This window comes from Homo sapiens, chromosome 4, assembly GCF_000001405.40.
Source record: "Homo sapiens chromosome 4, GRCh38.p14 Primary Assembly".
Taxonomy (NCBI): Eukaryota; Metazoa; Chordata; class Mammalia; order Primates; family Hominidae; genus Homo; species Homo sapiens.
This window is the reverse complement of record NC_000004.12, coordinates 185,377,668-185,396,456: the sequence shown is the minus strand read 5'-3', so window position 1 is coordinate 185,396,456 and position 18,789 is coordinate 185,377,668. Positions and strand designations below refer to the sequence as shown.

Below are 18,789 nucleotides of genomic sequence, written 5' to 3'. Positions count from 1 at the left end.
TCCCGGTAGTGCGCCCGCCCTTTAATCCTTACGGAGAAGCGGGAGTTTCGGCTGCAGGTTTTGGCTCTGCCGGCGCGCACGTAACCAGGAAACTGGGAGCCACGCGCAGCTCCCCGTCGACGCCGCCTTCAGAAGCCGCTGTGCACTGCGCTGCTGCCGCCTCGGCGCCGGGGAACGCAAGTTCCTTTACCTCGCGCGCAGTCGCCCGCCTCCCAACCCGGGAGGTGAAGGCGGGGACGGCGAGCGCGAACTCGAGGGGATGGCTGTCCCGAGTGGCAACGGCCGAGCCCGGCCCGCGCAGGGACCCTTGTGGAGGGGCCCTCGGGGAGAGGCCGCAGCACGCTGGGGTCGTCACGCTGGTCCACGCCGGGCTCTCCTCCCGGGAGAGCGGACCCGGCCGCGTGCGATTCGGACCCGCGGGGCTGGTGAAGCCGCTGTCCGGCCCCGCGGGTGCTGTCGGGCGTGCGTCACTGCTTTTTGTAGAACATGACCTGACTTCCGATGGCAGCTACTGACGTCAGAGCTGCTCCCTAGACTCTCCCTAAGCGTCTTTCCAGAAGGATCTGCTTAGAAACCAAAGCTCCAGCCGAGTGTTTCTTTTCCCCTACATTTTTAGTGATTCCCTTCTGTTGATGCCTTTGAAAGCTCGGAGAAATAAATACGTTTATTGTTATGCTGTTAGAAAACAAGTTCATGCTTGTCCTCTAAAGATAAGTGGTCTTTTCATTCTACTTTTTGTTTTGTAGTAAGAGCCATAAAATTTGCAATCGCAAGTTTATGTTGTTATACTTAGTTACCCAAGGGGTAGTTTTAAGCATTTTTATTCATATGAATATTTGAATATAAATGTGTGTTCAAATATATAGAATCGTTCTTATATTCCACATTTTTAATATTTAAACTATTCACAATATCTTTTAATGATGTTTAAAGAACGGCAGTGTAGAGATACTGTTGTCAGATTTGTGAGGTGAGCACACGTTGATATTGCCAGTTTCGCTTTTGTTTATCAATTCAATAAGCACTGCTTTTTAAAACACGTGTTGAAGCTTCAGGTTTGCACAGAAGTTCATTTTCAGGAATTCCTAACTAATAAAGGGTATCAGACACGTTCTTACAGTTTTGAACATAAATACTGCAGTTAGCATATGTAGTGGGATATTTGTGTGGTGAAAGTGCCTCCATATTTCATATCTTTTCTTTGAAACAAGATTCTGTTCAGTATGCATTAAGTGGTAGTTATTTTTTAACTTCCTGTTACATACGTAAATTTCATAAGGAAAGGAAATTTGGGGAGTCGTTACAGCTTTTCTCCCTTTAATCACAGCGTACCTGTCCATTGCTCACATTGTTTTCAGAAAAAAAAGTTGTATCTCAGCTGGATATCTGACTTGACTTTAGTAATGGGCCTAGAAACTATAAACTGAACAAAGCTTATAATGCACAAAAACAGGATAAGTACATTTGGGGGACAATATCTTACTGGCAAGTAACTGGAGTTTCACCAGGCGTGTAGCAGGTGGGATCAATTTTCTAAAACGGAAGATGATCTAAGATGCATATTTTATAGGCGTTCTCCTAAGCAGTGCTAATTCTACATGTTTTAATTGCTGGTAGATGCGTTTCCAGAACGAGGATGCCATTTACAGCGAGTGTTAAAAAAAACGTTGGATGATGAGTAAGTGACCGAATAGATGAGAGATGTGTGGGCTGAATCTTGAGTAGTAAGAGTTTGCTAAGGAGTCCAGGAAGGGAAGAGTATTTCTAAGAAGTGTAAAATATCTTCCAGTATTGAGAGCACTATATGTAGTTCAGTCTGGGGGCAGTGTGTGATACACATGCAGCTGTGATGTGAAATAGAGAAAGGCCGACAAATGAGAAAGTATTAACCACTAACGTCTATTCCAGTTTATTATATTACAAATTGACATTAATTGAGCACTTGTGCCTCAAGACTAACGCTCATAGGTATTATCTGCATTTTACAGAAGAGGAAATTGAGGCTTAGGGAGATCCATTAACTTGTCATGTAATTATTAGCAGGTAAATCAGGAATTTGAAGTCAGTTTGACTCCAGAGCCCACATTCTTATACCTATGTGTTTTAAATAATTTTGGTCACCTCTGGTCAATTCAGGCTAAGATTGGTTTCTTTAATGCAAACCAAAGGCCTTTTTTTTTTTTTTTTTTTTTAACTCTGAAACACAATCTCGCTGTCTTGCCCAGATTGGAATGCAGTGGCGTGATCTCAGCTCACTGCAACCTCCGTCTTCCCGGGTTCAAGTGATTCTCGTGCGTCAGCCACCCAAGTAGCTGGGCTTACAGCTATACGCCACCACACCCAGCTAATTTTTGTATTTTCAGTAGAGATGGGTTTCACTGTGTTGCCCAGGCTGGTCTCAAACGCCTGACCTCCAGTGATCCACCTGCCTTGGCCTTCCAAAATGTTGGGATTACAGGCATGAGCCACCATGCCTGGCCGCAAAAGAGTCTTCAGAGAAAATTATTGTAATCCATAGAAAAAACAACTGTTTTATTTAATAATGACTGTCAGTGTAGCCTTGTTCCTGGAATTGAATCTCCCGCAATACTAAACCTAGTACTTCTTATTCAAGTAATTACTCTTGAGGGTCAGGCGCGGTGGTGGCTCACGTCTGTAATCCCAGCACTTTGGGAGGCTGAGGCAGGCCGATCGCCTGAGGTCAGCAGTTTGAGACCAGAATGGCCAACATGGTGAAACCCCGTCTCTACTAAAAATAGAAAAATTGGCCGGGCGTGGTGGCAGGTGCCTGTAATCCCAGTTACTCCGGAGGCTGAGGCAGGAGAATCGCCTGAACCTGAGAGGCGGAGGTTGCAGTGAGCCGAGATTGCGCCACTGCACTCCAGCCTGGGTGACAAGAGCAAGATTCCGTCTCAAAAAAAAAAAAAGGAAAAGAAAAAGTAATTACTCTTGCATCAGTGAATTGTGCCAGGTGAAAATTATTAAAAGTAGTTGGTGGAACCGATAAGCTAATTTTATCTATTTCTTGCTTGCTGTGGTTTTCCTGTTTCTTATTGACCAAGAAAACACTGGAAAGCATTACCAAAAGGCACAGTATTGAAAGGAGGAGTAATTGAGAATACCTACTCATTCCTACTTTAAAACATTAATTGGATTGTATATGTTTAGTAATGCCATAGAAAACTTCAGCTCTAAAGCAAGTGAAATAATGTAAAACTAAAAATCTCACCAGATGCAGTGGCTCACGCCTGTAATCCCAACACTTTGGGAGGCTGAGGCAGGCAGATCACTTGTGGCCAGGAGTTCGAGATCAGCCTGGCCAACATGGCGGAACCGTCTCTACTAAAAATACAAAAATTAGCCAGGTGTGTGGTGCGTGCCTGTAATGCCAGCTACTTGAGAGGCTGAGGTGGGAGAATCACTTGAACCCAGGAAGCAGAGGTTGCAGTGAGCCGAGATCGTGCCACTGCACTCCAGCCTGGGTGACCGAGTGAGGCCTCATCTCCAAAAATACTGAAAACTAAAAATCCCAGTAGCTGGCCTGGTTTCACATGTATTTTTTAAATCCCTTGAGAATATCATAACGCCAAAGCATTGAAGTCAAACGCATCAAGCATTTCTGAATATGATGTCTTGTTTATTGCCAGCCAGGCACCCATGGTATATCAATGCTGACCAGAGTCCACTGAGCCTTAGAAGTAACGATATTTTAATTAATAATGATATTATGGCAATAATACTTCTATCGTTCATACACTGAAGGTGATAATATTCCAAATATGACAACTTTTCAAAGACAGAAGGTTATAACCAGATCTGGAATTTCCATAGATTTTTTTTAAGTTTTTTTTTTTAAACATCTACAGATTTAAGATGACTTGAATTAATCAAATATAATTCTGGGCTTCATTGCAATGCCACTGTCAAGAAACCCATTACCCTAATAATTGTAAAAACGGAAGAATTTCTTACAAAGAAATTCTTTCTCTTTAACATAAATTCTTCCAGCCTTGATAACTCAAACTTCTTGGGGAAGATGATAAATTGGATAGTTATTCTAAACAACTGCTGCAACAGGATATTGTGGCAAAAAGAAAAGGCAAAGTATAGTTATCCTCTTTTGATGATGTTTACTTTCCTGAGAGCCTGTAATCAGAAGGGTCCAGTGGTCTCAATGGTGACTAGATTTAAATGTTCACTTCTTCACTGTTGTGATAAGAACTTGGAGAACTTGAAAGGTATTTCATATTTTTGTTATTTCTCCTCCTGGTTATATATTCCTTTCAATGAAATGTGGAAATTACAGATGATAAATTTGTAAAATTAGATGAAGTAGAGAAAAAGGTAGAAAGTTAGTCCTTAATATTAAACCAATTGATGGAGGGAGCCAAGTTTCTTATTGTTGGAGAGGGAAGTTACAGATTAGTAGAAAAGGCTAAAATGAGCCAGGTAGTAATGGATTTGTCCAAGATGTCAATAAGAATTCATAGTTAGCTTAATATAGATTCAGATGGATAGAAGCAGAAATAATTATAGGTGTGTGTGTATACATGGGTTATGCATATACATATGTCCTAGCTCTGCCTGCTGTGAGAGGGCCTAAAGCAGTGACACCGCAGTAACAATGAACACACCCAGTACCCAGATCCGGGTTTCTAATACCATTCTCTAGTGAAAGAAACCAGGGCTCCTTGCAGACATTGCTGATTCTGGGGCTGGGGCAGGGAAAATACAAGATGAGCCTAGAGCATCGTGTAGTACCAGAACAAGGTACTGGTACTTGTTCCAGTAAGTGGAAGGATAGGACATGTGAAAGGGACCCAGGAGCTAACCTGAAAGAGCTCCCAATGGCCAAAACTGGAACTAACTCAGGTACTGTTGGATTATAACTCAGTACATAGTTATCCATGAGTCTATACTGATATAAACAACTGAATGAATAAATAAATAAATGGGAGATGGGAGACAGAAGACAATGCTTCTTTACAGAAGAATTTCAAATGTTTAATGTAGATATTCCCTGGTGAAGACGATTCCGCCTCCAACGCCTTCTTGAATGTGGGCTACACATAATGACTTGCTTCCAAAAAGTAGAGTATGGGAAGGGGAAAACGAAGCGACTTTACAGTGGAGAAGCCTGTTGGATGCTGCCATGGCCAGTAATTGTTCACATCCTCAGTGGAAAGTCCTGTTGATGATGTGATTGTTGACACGATGTGATGAGAAGGCCACTTCACCTCTTCGGTATTCTTCCCTAAAACCCATAGCCCAGTCTAATCATGAGTAAAACAGATGAATGTTGATTGGGGACATTCTTTAGGATACACGGCTAGTATTCCTCAAAACTGTGAAGGTTATGAAAAACAAGGGAAGTTTGAGAAACTGCCGCAGACCAGAAGAGGCTCAGGAGGCATGGTGACTGACTCTAGTGTGTTCACTTGGATGGGATCCTGGCACAGCAAAAGAACGTCAGTGGAAAGATGAGTAAAATCCTAATAGAGTTTTAGGTAATTTTCACGAACCAATGTTGGTTTCCTAGTTGTGGCAAACATACTATTATAATGTGATGTTAACAGTGGGGGACACTGAGGGACACTCTGTGGTATCCTTGCAGCTTTTCTGTACATCTCAAATTATTGTAAAACATAAAGTGTACTTCAAAAAAGAGGAATTGAGGCCACTTAAAGCTCTCACAGTGGCAGCGTTCTCACAGCTGTTTGGTCTGCTTATCCAACACGCTTCATTTCCTCGTAAGACGTGCCGACTGCCCATTGCACTGACCGTTGGAAGACCGTAGGCATTCTCTAGAATGTCAGTCACTTGGGCTCACACCAGTTGAACTGTATGCCTACCAAGAGTCAGTTTTTCTACACCTGTAAGGATTATTATAAAATGTAATTCAATTAAATATTTTTTCTTTTTTCTTTTTTTTTTTTTTGAGACGGAATCTTGCTCTGTCACCCAGGCTGGAGTGCAGTGGCACCATCTCAGCTCACTGTAACCTCTGCCTCCTAGGTTCAAGCGATTCTCCTGCCTCAGCCTCCCTAGTAGCTGGGACTACAGGCATGGGCTACTACGCCCAGCTATTTTATTTTTTTCTGTATTTTTAGTATAAACAGGATTTCACCATGTTGGTCAGGCTGGTCTTGAACTCCTGACCTCAAATGATCCACCTGCCTTGGCCTCTCAAAGTACTGGGATTACAGGCGTGAGCCACCCTGCCCGGCCTCAATTAAATATTATGTAACTGATGAGATATGAGTGAGACATGAGAGCTTGTTTTTAAGAAAATGAATGCTTTCAAAGTCAAGTCACTACGAAAACTTGTTTCGAAGTAGATGAGAATATTAAGTCAACTGTAAAATATGGGGGAAAGAATTCTGTACTTGGATTGTTTATGGGCATTTTAAAATTTAAACTCCATTTTAAAGAAACCTAATCTGGAATTCTTATGCCCATAGTTTATGCAAGAAAACTCTAAATTCTCACGGTTGAACACTAGTTAAATCACTTCTGGCCCTAAATGAGAAGATTGGGAAATAACTTTTTTTTACACGTTTTGGGTATAAAGTGCACATGGTATTTTTGAACACTCTTTTATTAATCTCCACTGTCATTCTTGTTTGACCACCTGCCACTCCCAAGAATGCCAGGTCAGAGGGGTCCAAATGTGTTTACTGTACAGTGTTTCTTTCACTTAAAGAAGGTAAGGACTGCAGATGAACAGATACGAAGGTTTGTATTACCAACTGCACCTGCATAAAATTGGATAACTAAAAATGATTTACTGGATGATTTGAGACACTCAAAAGTTTGAAACTCAGTTGTTTTTTTTTAGTGAAGGTCATTTAAAGTGCCTGGAAAATGTAGAATACTAGATATATACTCTGAATAGAACTTAGCATCATATATTACATTGTTATTCACTTGTTTTAATTATTATTTTAGGCTGGGCACGGTGGCTCACGCCTGTAATCCCAGCACTTTGGGAGGCTGAGGTGGGCGGATCACAAGGTCAGGAGTTCAAGACGAGTCTGGCCAACATAGTGAAACCCCGTCTCTATTAAAAAATACAAAAAAATTAGCCGGGTGTGGTGGTGTGCGCCTGCAATCCCAGCTACTTGGGAGGCTGAGGTGGGAGAATCACGTGAACCTGGGAGGTGGAGGTTGCAGTGAACCAAGATTGCGCCATTGCACTCCAGCCTGGGCAACAGTGTGAGACTCCGTTCTCAAAATAAATAAATAAAATAAAAATAAAAATAAATAAAAATTAAAAAAGGCCAGGTGTAGTGGCTCACATCTGTAATCTCAGCACTTTGGGAGGCCAAGGTGGGGTGGATCACAAGGTCAGGAGATCCAGACCATCCTGGCCAACATGGTGAAACCCTGTCTCTACTAAAAATACAAAAATTAGCTGGGTGTGGTGGCAGGCACTTGTAATCCCAGCTACTTGGGAGGCTGATTCAAGCAGGAGAATTGCTTGAATCCAGGAGGCGGAGGTTGCAGTGAGCCGAGATCGCACCACTGTACTCCAGCCTGGCGACAGAGCAAGACTCTGTCTCAAAAAAAATAATAATTATTATTATTTTATTAGTAAGATTAGCATTTTATACTTTTTCTCCTCTTAGGAACAAAGATTAATTTGAGTAGGATGTTAACACATTTTGAGAAATTTGAGTTATTGTAAGGAAATGTTTGTTGTGCAACCTATTTTCTTCATTTAAACAATATAAAGACAGTAGATGAATACATAGCATACCTTCAGAAACAGCATGTACATATATAATTGAAATATTATTTTTCTGTATAATTTATCATTTGAAACATTTTCTTTCAACTGCTGTGAGAACACTGTCAGGTAGAAGAAGAAAAAGCTTAAGGTTTATTCTTACCGAACCTGTGTTTACTAGAAGTCCTAGATAGATAGATAGGTAGGTAGATAGATAGCCTAGGTAGGCCTGATAGGTAGGCAGGCTAGGTAGGTTAGGCAGGTTAGGTAGGTAGGTAGGCAGATAGGTAGATAGATAGTAAAAGGAAAAGGAAATCTGGGAGCCCAAGATCTTGAGTTAGTAGGTAGGCAGAAATAAGACCCCGGGACATGGCTATATCAAAGGTTTAATTAATATTGGGAATAAGGATGAGATGTTGCTTGTACAGCAGACTTGATGGACTTGTCCCTCAGGAAACCAGCCTAACACGTTCTCATCAGATCAGAAGACCACTGCGCTGCTCTCACCTCAGACTTCATCTCCTACCATGTGGGATGTGAGAAGCCACCTCCCTAATTTCTGAGTCCGAATCTCTGCCTTACACGCCGTGGAACTCCTCCATCATCTGGGTTTCTAGCTGTGCCACAGGCCTGAAAATATTAGCTTAGGTTTAAATTCAGTGAACTTAAGGGGCAGTCTACACACCACGGGGGCATCCCCTAGGGCCGGCCTGTCCTCGGCCTACTGCGTCGCTTTTCCTGTCGAGGGCTCGTCACACAGCCTTTCCACTTCCACGGGACAGTGGGGAAAAGGAGTTAGAGAGGGAGGAATCATATCCAGAGGCCTTCATTCCACCCCTGCCTCAGAACCCAAGTTGGGAGAGAGCTTTCAAGGCACGGAGACGTGGGAGAAGGCCCGGGGCTGGGGGCTGGCTTCTCGAGCTCTGGTGTGAAGACGCTGCCCACCTCTGCAAGAACCCGTTATCCAGCGGGGTGGGGACCTTGTGGGGAATATGGAGCTGCTGTAGGCAAGGACAGATAGCCTTATGGCTGTCCATCTGTGGCCAATGGCAGTATGTTTGTAACCTCACCACAATATTATTACAGAAAATTTGAGAAATAGAGAAGAGAAACATGCAGGTCCACAGTCTCTTACTTGCAATTCAAAAAGACATGAGGGTCTGAAACACAGTATGTTTATAATTCTTAAGGCAGCAAGATCATCTTAGCTGCACACGCCTGAGACTGTATTTAGTGTTTATTCCATTTTGTGTGAACAGTGTTATATTTTACTGCAGAAACACAACTATGGCAAAAGGGTGCAATTCTAGACCATGCCCAGGCGGTTCTGCAGTAGGGTGTACATGTGTTATATGTTATTTGTACATTGTGTGGCATTTCCAAAATCCAAACACGTCTTAATTCTAAAACATTTCTGTTCCCAAGGTTTCGGATACGGCCTTATATACCTGCACATAATCCACAGTTCACACGGTGGTTTTTTGTTGGTTTGTTTGAGACTGAGTCTCGCTCTGTCACCCAGGCTGCAGTGCGGGGGCGCAATCTCGGCTCACTGCAGTCTCTGCCCCTCGTCTCATGCCTCAGGCTCCCGAGTAGCTGGGATGACAGGCACCCACCACTAGCCCAGCTAATTTTTGTATTTTTAGTAGACACGGGGTTTCACCATGTTGGCCAGGCTGGTCTCGAACTCCTAACCTCAGGTGATCTGCCCACCTTGGCCTCCCAAAGTGCTGGGATTACAGGCATGAGCCACTGCACCCTGCCAACACAATGGTTTTGATGTGTTTACACATAGGGTCTTTTCTCCCCTTGCTTCTTTACTTTTATATAATAGTAAACATCATGTACGTACATGTCTCCACGGCATCCACTTGCCTCTGTCCTCAGCTCAGTGGCCTTCGTAGTGCTGGTGCCTCAGCTTGTCACCACTAGCTAGTCCTTTCAGTAAGTCCAAAGCAACTACATTTCTACTGACTCCTCCGTTTACAAGAGTCCCAGGCACTGCTGGAGGGTGTAGTCTCTTAAGGTCCAGGGGTCACGTTGGGGTGTACCTGTCTCCTATAGCCAAAAGTTTGGGCCAGGACTAGTGAGGATGCAGCTTGTGCAAAGACTAAAACACCATCAGGCAGCTTTTCCAAAGCACAGAAATGGCTGGAATCCACCTGCCCCATGCCCTTAAGAGCACTGAGGTAGGCTGGAGCCCAGCCTTTTCTCTTGTCCTCTCTGCCCACCACTTTCTGGGCCTCTGACTGATGCCTGGATTTTTAAAATTAGTATTTAAAATGTTAATAGTTTTTTGCATATAGGTCATAGACACTTATCTGAGGTTATTCCCACATAGTTTATATTTTTGTGTTATTACAAATGAGCATTCCTTGCCCAGTGTACTTTCTCACTGGCTATGAAAGATATGCTTTTCATTTTTGTTCATTTATTTCATACCCTGCCACTCTCCTGAGCTAATCATATCAGGCAGCCTTTAAGCTGATCCCTTTGGATTCCCAGAGATCCAATCATCATGTACAAGAAAGATAATTATGCTTCTTTTTAAAATATATCTTGCTTGTTTTGTGTTTTATTTTTTGTCCAGAACTTCTCAAATGTGACTGCATAATAATGGTGATACCACGACTCTTTGTTTTGTTTTTCATTTCAGTTAGACTACTGCATTTTCCTCTCTGAATGTAACTTCTCTCTGTCTTGCTCTAAATTGAAATCTGTATCTTCCCTGAGAAAGACACAACTTCCCCTGAAGATAAGGCTGCAGACACCTTGAGCTTGACAGTATAAGATGATGTTATTTCTTTATCTCCCCCCCCCCCTCCCCGAGACAGAGTCTTGCTCTGTCACCCAGGCTGGAGTGCAGTGGCACGATCTCAGCTCACTGCAACCTCCACCTTCCGGGTTTGAGCAATTCTCCTGCCTCAGCCTCCCGAGTAGCTGGGATTACAGGCGCCTACTACCGCACCCAGCTAATTTTTGTATTGTTAGTAGAGACGGAGTTTCACCTTTTTGGCCAGGCTGGTCCTGAACTCCTGACCTCCTGATCTGCCTGCCTTAGCCTCACAAAGTGCTGGGATTACAGGCATGAGCCACCGCGCCTGGCCTGGGATGATGTTACTATACATTCAGTTTGTCCAAGGACATGGGGAGGTGGGGTGACAAGCAACGTTAATGGGGCTGCAAATGAATATTTTATAAAAGATTTATCTGGTTTTTCTGTTCAGTGTGGCTCTCATACTCTAGGACAGAGGTCAATTTAAATTTTGGTTGTGACAGATTTTTTTCAATTCTCTTTGCGACCCTGATTTTGTCAATTCTTTTTATGATTTATGTCACACTTGGATAGTGATGAGCAATTATCACATACTTTAAGGAATTCTACTCATGTATTTTACTAGCTGACCTCCGGGGGTAAATCATCCCGGAGTGTATTTATAACTGTAACAGTATCGGCTCCAGAGAAGACCCGGCAGCTGTAACTGCCAACAAGGTTTCCCCATTGGGAACAGAACAAATAGACGTGTGGGCCCACACAAACGGCGGGAAGATTTTGAACGTATCAGTGTTTCTTAGCCTGTTTTATTTGATCACAGAATACATGGTAAATCAGAGAAAAATAAAATCAAAAGCTACTGGACTCTTTCATCCCGTGCTTGCCACAGCTTATCTGGTCATAAAACACATCCTGTCTTTCCCCACACTTTTCCTCTCTTCAGGGCCTGATGGTGTAAATCTGCCACACCCAAAAGGAAGGGGTGGGAAAAAAGCACTTTTGTTTTAAACACACAAACGGACCTAGCTGAAAGGGGCGGCGGGGGACGGGGGGCGGGGAGGGGGATGCAGGGCGGAGTGGGAAGAACAGAAAGCTACTGCCTGAATCAGTATTGTCTTTTGAGATCTCAGTAAGTTATTCTCTTCTAATTTTTCATCATATATGTGTAGATGGTGTTTCCAATTACTATATGAACACTATGGGGTTTTTAAAAAACTACTGTTAGGCAATAGTAATGAAAGGAAAAATAACAATAAACACGGGTTTGAGGGTTTGCCGGGGAGGCTTATTTATCTCTGTTTTCTTGGGCACTAGGAACATTATCTAGTATGAAAGGAACTTCAGTGTTGAACCTCAATTTTAAAAGAACTTTAAATACAGCTATTCATTATTTCATTTCAACATTGGATTAGGCCAACTATTAAGTGTCAAAAGAGCCAGTCAGAAGCATCAGCAAATGTAATTAATTTTAAAAACCCAGAAACTTTAAACACTTGGCCCATTGAAAGTTAAATGGAATGTCTAGGCTCCTATTTATATGACATAGTCTAGGGTGGTGTTTTAGTCTGTTCCTCCTTCTATAACAAAATTCCTTAGTTGGGTAATTTATAAACAATCGAAATTGATTTCTCATAGTTCTGGAGGTTGGGAAGTCCAAAATCAAGGCACTGGCAGATTCAGTGTCTGGTGAGAGCTTTCAGGACAGTGCCTTGTTGTGTCCTCACATGGCAGAAGGCAGAATGGCAAAAGAGTGAGCTCTCTGCATCTAACCCTTTCCTAAGGGCACAAATCCCATCCTTAAGAGCAGAACCCTCCCGTCACTCCCCAGGGCTCCACCTCTTAATACCATCACCTTAGGGGGTTAAGTTTCAACATGTGAACTTTGGAGGGACACACACTCTAAGCATAGCAGGTACTGTGTCAGGACTAGGACTCAGCATATAGTTGTACTCATGGGCAACAGTTATTACAGCAAAGGAATACACAACAAGATTAGCAACAACAACAAAGGCACAGGTGGAATCTGAAGAAATCCACGCCCAGGCTTATGTTCTCTCCCTTCCATGAGGAAAAACACGGCGCACCTGCCTGTCTCCAGTAGTGAAGAATGCAGGGACATGGGCACAGTGTTTGTCCCAAAGGAAGCCCGGAGGGATGTTTTTGTTGGGGGCAAGTCATGTAGGCATCCTCTGCCTAGCAGCTACCAAAATGACAGAATTCCACAAGGAAAGCAGATAGTCACCACAAATCACATTGTTTATGCAACAGTTTAAACACAGCAAAACCAGTCTTACCAGTTAGGGGATGGAAGTGCCAAGTTCCTGATGTCAGCCAAATGCCAGCCTTGCCAGTATGCCCTTGTAAAGATGGCAGCCTCGGGCCTGCCGTGGTAACTGTTTTCTGCACAGGCACACAACCCACAAACGACACTAACATACTTAAGACACATTTTGCAGCAGCAGTGTGTTTTTGGAGATGGGGTCTCACTCTGTCACCCAGGTTGGAGTGCAATGGCACAGTCATAGCTCATTGCAGCCTCAAACTCCAGGGCTCAAGGGATCTTCCCCCCTCAGCCTCCTGAGTAGCTAGGACTATAGGTGTGCACCACCACACCTGGCTAATTTTTTTATTTTTAATTTTTTTGGAAGGACAGGGCCTCACTACGTTGCCCTGTCTGGTCTTGAACTTGTGGCCTCAAGTGATCCTCCCACCTTGATCTCCCAAAGTTCTGGGATTACAGGAATGAACCACCACACCCAGCCTGAATACAGTTAGATGGTTCAGAGCACAAAGTTTAAATGCAAGGTTGCCTATAAAAGATTTAATATACATACTTCAAAACACAACTACTGAGGTGAAAGTATAACAAATGATGAGGGAAGAATGATCTTTTCAACAAACAGGTACTGGGCAAATGGATATCCACATGCAAAAGAACTGATTTGGACCTTTCCCTCATACACAGAATGAACTCAATGGATCAAAGACCTAAATGTAAGAGTAAATATAAAACTCTTAGAAGAAGGCACAGGGGTAAACTTTTGTGACCTTGGATTAGGCAATGGTTTCTTTTAGATGTGACACCTAAAGCACAGGCAAGAAAAGAAAAAATAGAAAAACTGGACTTCATTAAAAATAAAAGGTTTTGGGATCAAAAGAAACTGTTAAAGAAAAACATCCACACATTGGGAAAAAATTGCAAATTATACACTGGTATGAGACTAGTATGTAGGATATATAAAGAACTATTATAACCCAACTGGAAAATGGGCAAAAGCTTTGAATAGACATTTACAAATACAAATGCAAAATGGGTAAGAAGCACAGGAAAAGATGCTCAACATGATTTTTCATTAGAGAAATGCAAATCAAAACAACAATGAGATAGCGCTTCACATCCACTAGGATGGTGATAATAAAGATAGGCAACAACAGGTGTTGGTGAGGATGTAGAACCTTATACACTATTGGTAGGGATGTGAAATGGTACAACCACTTTGAAATACAGATTGGCAATTTCCCAAAATGTCAAACATAGAATTACCATATGACCCAGCAATTCCACTCCTAGGTACATACCCAAGAGAATTGAAAACATGTATCCTCACAAAAACTAGTACGCAGACGTTTGTTGCAGCACTATTCATAATAGGCCAAAGCTGGAAACAATCCAAGTGCTTATCAACTGATGAACAGATTTTTTAAAAATCCATATAATGAAATGTTAATCATCCATAAAAAGGAATGAAATATTGATACATGCAACAAAGTACATGAATGTTGTAAACATTATGCTAAGTGAAAGAAGCCAGACATAAAAGGCCACATATTCTATGATTCCATTTATATAGAATATCCAAAATAGGCAAATCCATAGAGACAGAAAGTAGATTAGTGTTTGCCAGGAACTGAAGGGAGGAGAATGGGGAGTGGCTGCCGATGCTACAGTGTTTCTTCTGGATGATGAAAAGGTTTTGGAATTCCATAGCGGTAATTATTGCACAACTTTGTAATTATATTAAAAACCTCTGAATTGTACACTTTAAAAGGGTGAATTTTATGGTATGTGAATTATATATCAATTTGTAAAAAGTGTAACAAATGGATTAACATAAATGTTAATTCAGGAAATCAGAAGTATAAAGATGCAGGATGAGCCATACAATAATTTCCTCACATTCTTCTGAGGAACAGACTGAAGCCCCCCAAAACAGCTGTAGTTTCCTGTCCCTCTTTGGAAATAGCCAGGACTCTTCAGCCTGAATTAGAGGCTGTCTCATACTTGTCATAGTCAGGACAACTAAAAACTTTTTACTAGGACTCCTGAAAAGTCAGCCTAATTGAATGGGTGATTTATATTCAGAACTCAAATGAACCAAGCAGTCTTCCCATAAATTACTCAAACTACCAGAAATCTAAATCAGCAATTAATTTAAAAAGGGATTTTGTGCCCAATCACTTGGAAACTATTTGGCAGTATCTACAAAAGCTGACTATGCATAGTCATTGACCCAGTAACTACTACTACTATGTTTATCCGCAACAAAAACATGTATAAATTTTCAGGAAAAAGCAGGCCCAAGAATGTTCCTAATCGTCCAAAACAGAAGCTACCCAAAGTCCATCAAGTAGAAAAGATAAATTGTGATATATTCACACAATGTAATACAACAATATGAAGGAAAAAAATTACAACTAACACAACAAAATGGATGAATCAATGTCAAGGGAAAGAAGCTAGACACAAAATATTACACACTGTATGATTCCATTTATATAGTGTAAAAAACAAGAAAAAGTAACTTGTGCCATTACAGGTGCATATAGGATTTACACTTGAGTTCATGTAGTGACTAGAAGGGAATACAACAGGACTTCCAAAGTGCTGGTAAGGATCTCTTTCTTGATCTGAGAGCTAGTTACATGGATGTGTTTGGCTTGTGAAAATCTATCAAGCTGTAAACTTACATATACATTTCTGTATCTTTCATTTACTTCAGTAAACAGTTTTTAAATGGATTGCTTTAATGGCAGACTAGATGTGGCTAAAGAGAGAATTAATAAAAAGGGAGAGATTACTGAAGAGATTACCCAGAGTGTGTCAGAGAGAAAAAAAACGATGGAAAATCTGAAAGGCAAATTTAAGAGACATGAGGAGAAGGTCTTATCAAAATGCTGGAGAGAAAAATGAAATAGATTGGGGCCTCTGAAGAGCATGGTGGGTTGACTTGTGTTTCCAACCAAAGATATATCTGAGTGCTAACTCCTGAAACCTGTGAATGTGAACCTCTTTGGAAATAGGATATTTTACATGTAATCAAGTTAAGAGGAAGTCATGTTGGATTAGGGTGGGTGCCAACTCCAATGACTGGTGTCCTCATAAGAGGGAGGAGAGGACACACAGAGATAGAGGAGACATGAAGGGAAGGCCATGTAAACACAGAGGCAGAGGTTGAGTTGTGCAACTACAAGCCTAGGAACACCAGACATCACCAGAAACCACCAGAAGCTGGTGGGGAATGCTTAGGATGATTTTTCCCTAGGGCCAGAGGAAGCATGGCCCTGCCAACACCTTGATTTTGGACTTCTAGGCTCCGGAACTGTGAGAGAGGAAATTTCTGTTCTTTTAAGCCACAAAGTTTTTGATATTTTGTTTTAGCGGCCCCAGGAAACTAACAAACACAAATAAATTATCCCTGAGAATGTTTGGGAGCTAATAAAAGACGCCAATCCAAGACAGGAAGCTAAAAATTCCCAAAACATAATAAATATCTAGTCAATCCAATAAATACCCAGTAAATCCATCAAAAAGGCAATATTTATTGTATTGCCTGGACACGGTGACTCACTGCGGTAACCGCAGCACACTGGGAAGCTGAGACAGGAGGATTGCTGGAGCCCAGGAACTTGAGACCAGCCTGCATAACATGGAGACCCCATCTCTACAAAAATTTTAAGGAATTAGCTGGATGTCATGGCATATGCCTGTAGTCCCAAGTACTTGGGAGGCTGAGGTGGGTGGATCACCTGAGCCCAAGAGGTTGAGGCTGCAGTTGAGAGCTATGATTGTACCAATGCACTCTTCTAGCCTGGATGACAGAGTGAGACGCTGTCTCAGAGAGAGAGAGAGAGAGAGAGAAGTGCGCAGGTGCTGGGACACGCCAGCTGTTCTGCTTACCTGTCCTTAACTAGCCCTGTGGCCTTGGGCAAGTTACTTAACTTCCCCACTGTCCCTTGGTTTCCCCATACGTTAAACGAGCCTCATAATGAACCTTATTTCGTAAAGTTTTGTCGGCGCTGCCTAGAAAGCCTTACAACAAAGGTCAATACTTGGCATTTAATAAGAGCTCAGTAAATCTTTGATTTAGTTTTCCAAACATCTCCAAAACTTCTTTTAAGCTACAGCAGCAAAAACCATGTGCAGTCTTCTAACCACAAAAGGCAACATGAGTTTTAAACAAAGTAAGGTATTGTTTTCTGATTTGTTTCATTTCTGATGCCCTTCCTGAATATGCCAGTTTTTTCTTAGCCTTTTTGGATAAGTAGCATATTGAGTTAATGTCTTCAATGAAAATAAAACTTCCACATCCAATCTTTCAGTCATAAATGAGTGCTATCTGCACCATCCGATAGGGATTGTTTTTCTTCTTAATACCTTACCTAATATTGCTTCACCCTAAGTAAAGCTCATTGGGAAATTTCATATTCACTAAAGGCAACCATAAGATTTGGGGAATCATATAATCAAGAATTGTATATATCTAAAAAGGAACATTATAAAATCCTTTAATGCAGACCACTTATAGTCCAACTTAAAGATGAGGAAATTGACTCTTAAAAAGATTAAATGACTCTTCCAAAATCACAAAGATAATTCAGTGATTTTTTTCCCCTACTAAATGTTCCTTTTTTCTGCACTTCATTCTCACTTAAGCAATTTATTGTCTAAAATAGCATCATGGAATGATATAAAAATGCAGCTTTCCAATCACACTAAGGGTCTCTCTATTTCTTCTCTTGACCACCAATCAGGAACCTTTGCTGGAAGCTTGTTTCTGATTGGTGAAAGTAAGCCATAACAGTGGAATGCCAAGGAGTAAATACAAAAGTGTAGCAACAACTGAGTTTGCTGTCTCACTACCCTCAGCCTAGGCCAACCTGGACTCCTTCACCCCAAATGAGGTGACCGCTACATTTTATATGAAGACACTGATTTACCATTCAACTGTGATCCATCTTATAACATGGCAATCCAATACAGACAGGAAGATAAAACTCAACAACAGCTAAAATAAAGTGTATTCCCAGGTAAAATAGACAAGTGCTTTAATTTGAAATGGATTCGTCCGATGAGTGTCAGTTACAAGGGCAGAGAAGGTACCAGTGCAGAAGAGCTCTGACTGTGGGCAGTGTCACCAGGTCCCACTAAGTGGCAACACTTGTGCTGGGTGACTTGACCCATCTTGATGTATAAACCCATAGCCAGACAGGACGTGCAAACAGGTCTCATGGTGAATGCGATGCTGTGGAAAATGACATGGAGAATGGCTGTCTCTCAGCTAGGGAGGAGGGTCTTGGTGTCCTAGTAAAGAATGTTCACGTCCTGGAGTTGGTGGTTGGTGTTCTATCTAGGCGATGAGAGAAGGATGCTTTTCCTAATGAGCACCTGGTGGGAATAGAGTCTCTCTTTGCACTTCGCTGGAGGAAGAAATTTCTACCACTTATTTTTTCTTCTTGCTTATAGAATACACATTGCAGAAAAAGGATGAAGTTGACCAGTGAAAAGTTGCCCAAGAACCCCTTTTATGCCTCTGTATCTCAGTATGCTGCTAAAAACCAAAAATTTTTCCAGTGGAAAAAGGAAAAGACTGGTACAAATCCTGATATTTAAGCTTCCCTTGGAAAACACTTTAACAGTTCATTTTGCATGCTAGAGCAAACGAGACAAGAAATAATGTGTTTTATTGATTTCAAGGAAGTGGTTAATCATTAGTCCTTTTGAGTTTTCCCGCAAGAATCTGTGAAATTGCTCATTTATCTGGTAGCAAATCGTCAGTGAGGTCTCACAGATAGTTAGGTCTTGATTTTACTCTCAGGACTTAAGGACATGCTTCTAGAAAACAGAAAGCAGATGTCACGTTTGTTAAAGAGAACAATGCCAGGCTTGACTTGCAATTATTATTTAAATACCTTATCTTCCCTAAAGTCTTAAAAATGTTATATTAGGGATGGGTTGCTCATTTGGTTAGAGGAACTCTCATTAAGGCTCAAATTAAGAATTTAA

General features: G+C 41.7%; 2 protein-coding genes across 16 annotated transcripts in view, besides 2 other annotated features; one reads left to right on the top strand and one right to left on the bottom strand.

Moving 5' to 3' along the window:
- The window catches only part of LRP2BP (LRP2 binding protein), a 33,416-nt gene that overhangs the window by 831 nt on the left and 13,796 nt on the right, over positions 1 to 18,789 (top strand). For 3 of the 15 annotated variants that reach the window (NM_001385602.1, NM_001385601.1, NM_001385604.1), the window contains exon 2: positions 18,250 to 18,376. The exons of 4 other annotated variants lie outside the window; for them this stretch is intronic. In NM_001385602.1, the coding sequence (NP_001372531.1) occupies positions 18,271 to 18,376 (106 nt within the window). In that variant the 5' untranslated portion in view covers positions 18,250 to 18,270. Of the gene's footprint in view, positions 1 to 23; positions 18,377 to 18,789 lie in introns of those variants that run through there. 8 more of the 15 variants (NM_001377440.1, NM_001385603.1, XM_024454135.2 and 5 more) reach the window with 7 other exon arrangements.
- Positions 31 to 100: an enhancer, noted in NCBI's record as "active region_22259". NCBI's record gives its function as "activates an Ori minimal core promoter by ATAC-STARR-seq in GM12878 lymphoblastoid cells {active_cell/tissue: GM12878}" and the evidence as "EXISTENCE:reporter gene assay evidence [ECO:0000049][PMID:35858748]".
- Positions 221 to 410: a silencer, noted in NCBI's record as "silent region_15854". NCBI's record gives its function as "represses an Ori minimal core promoter by ATAC-STARR-seq in GM12878 lymphoblastoid cells {active_cell/tissue: GM12878}" and the evidence as "EXISTENCE:reporter gene assay evidence [ECO:0000049][PMID:35858748]".
- Positions 17,815 to 18,789, bottom strand: part of SNX25 (sorting nexin 25) — a 174,406-nt gene continuing 173,431 nt past the window's right edge. The window contains exon 22 of the transcript NR_186775.1: positions 17,815 to 18,618. The gene's annotated coding sequence lies outside the window, so the exon portion shown is untranslated. The remainder of the gene's footprint in view (positions 18,619 to 18,789) is intronic.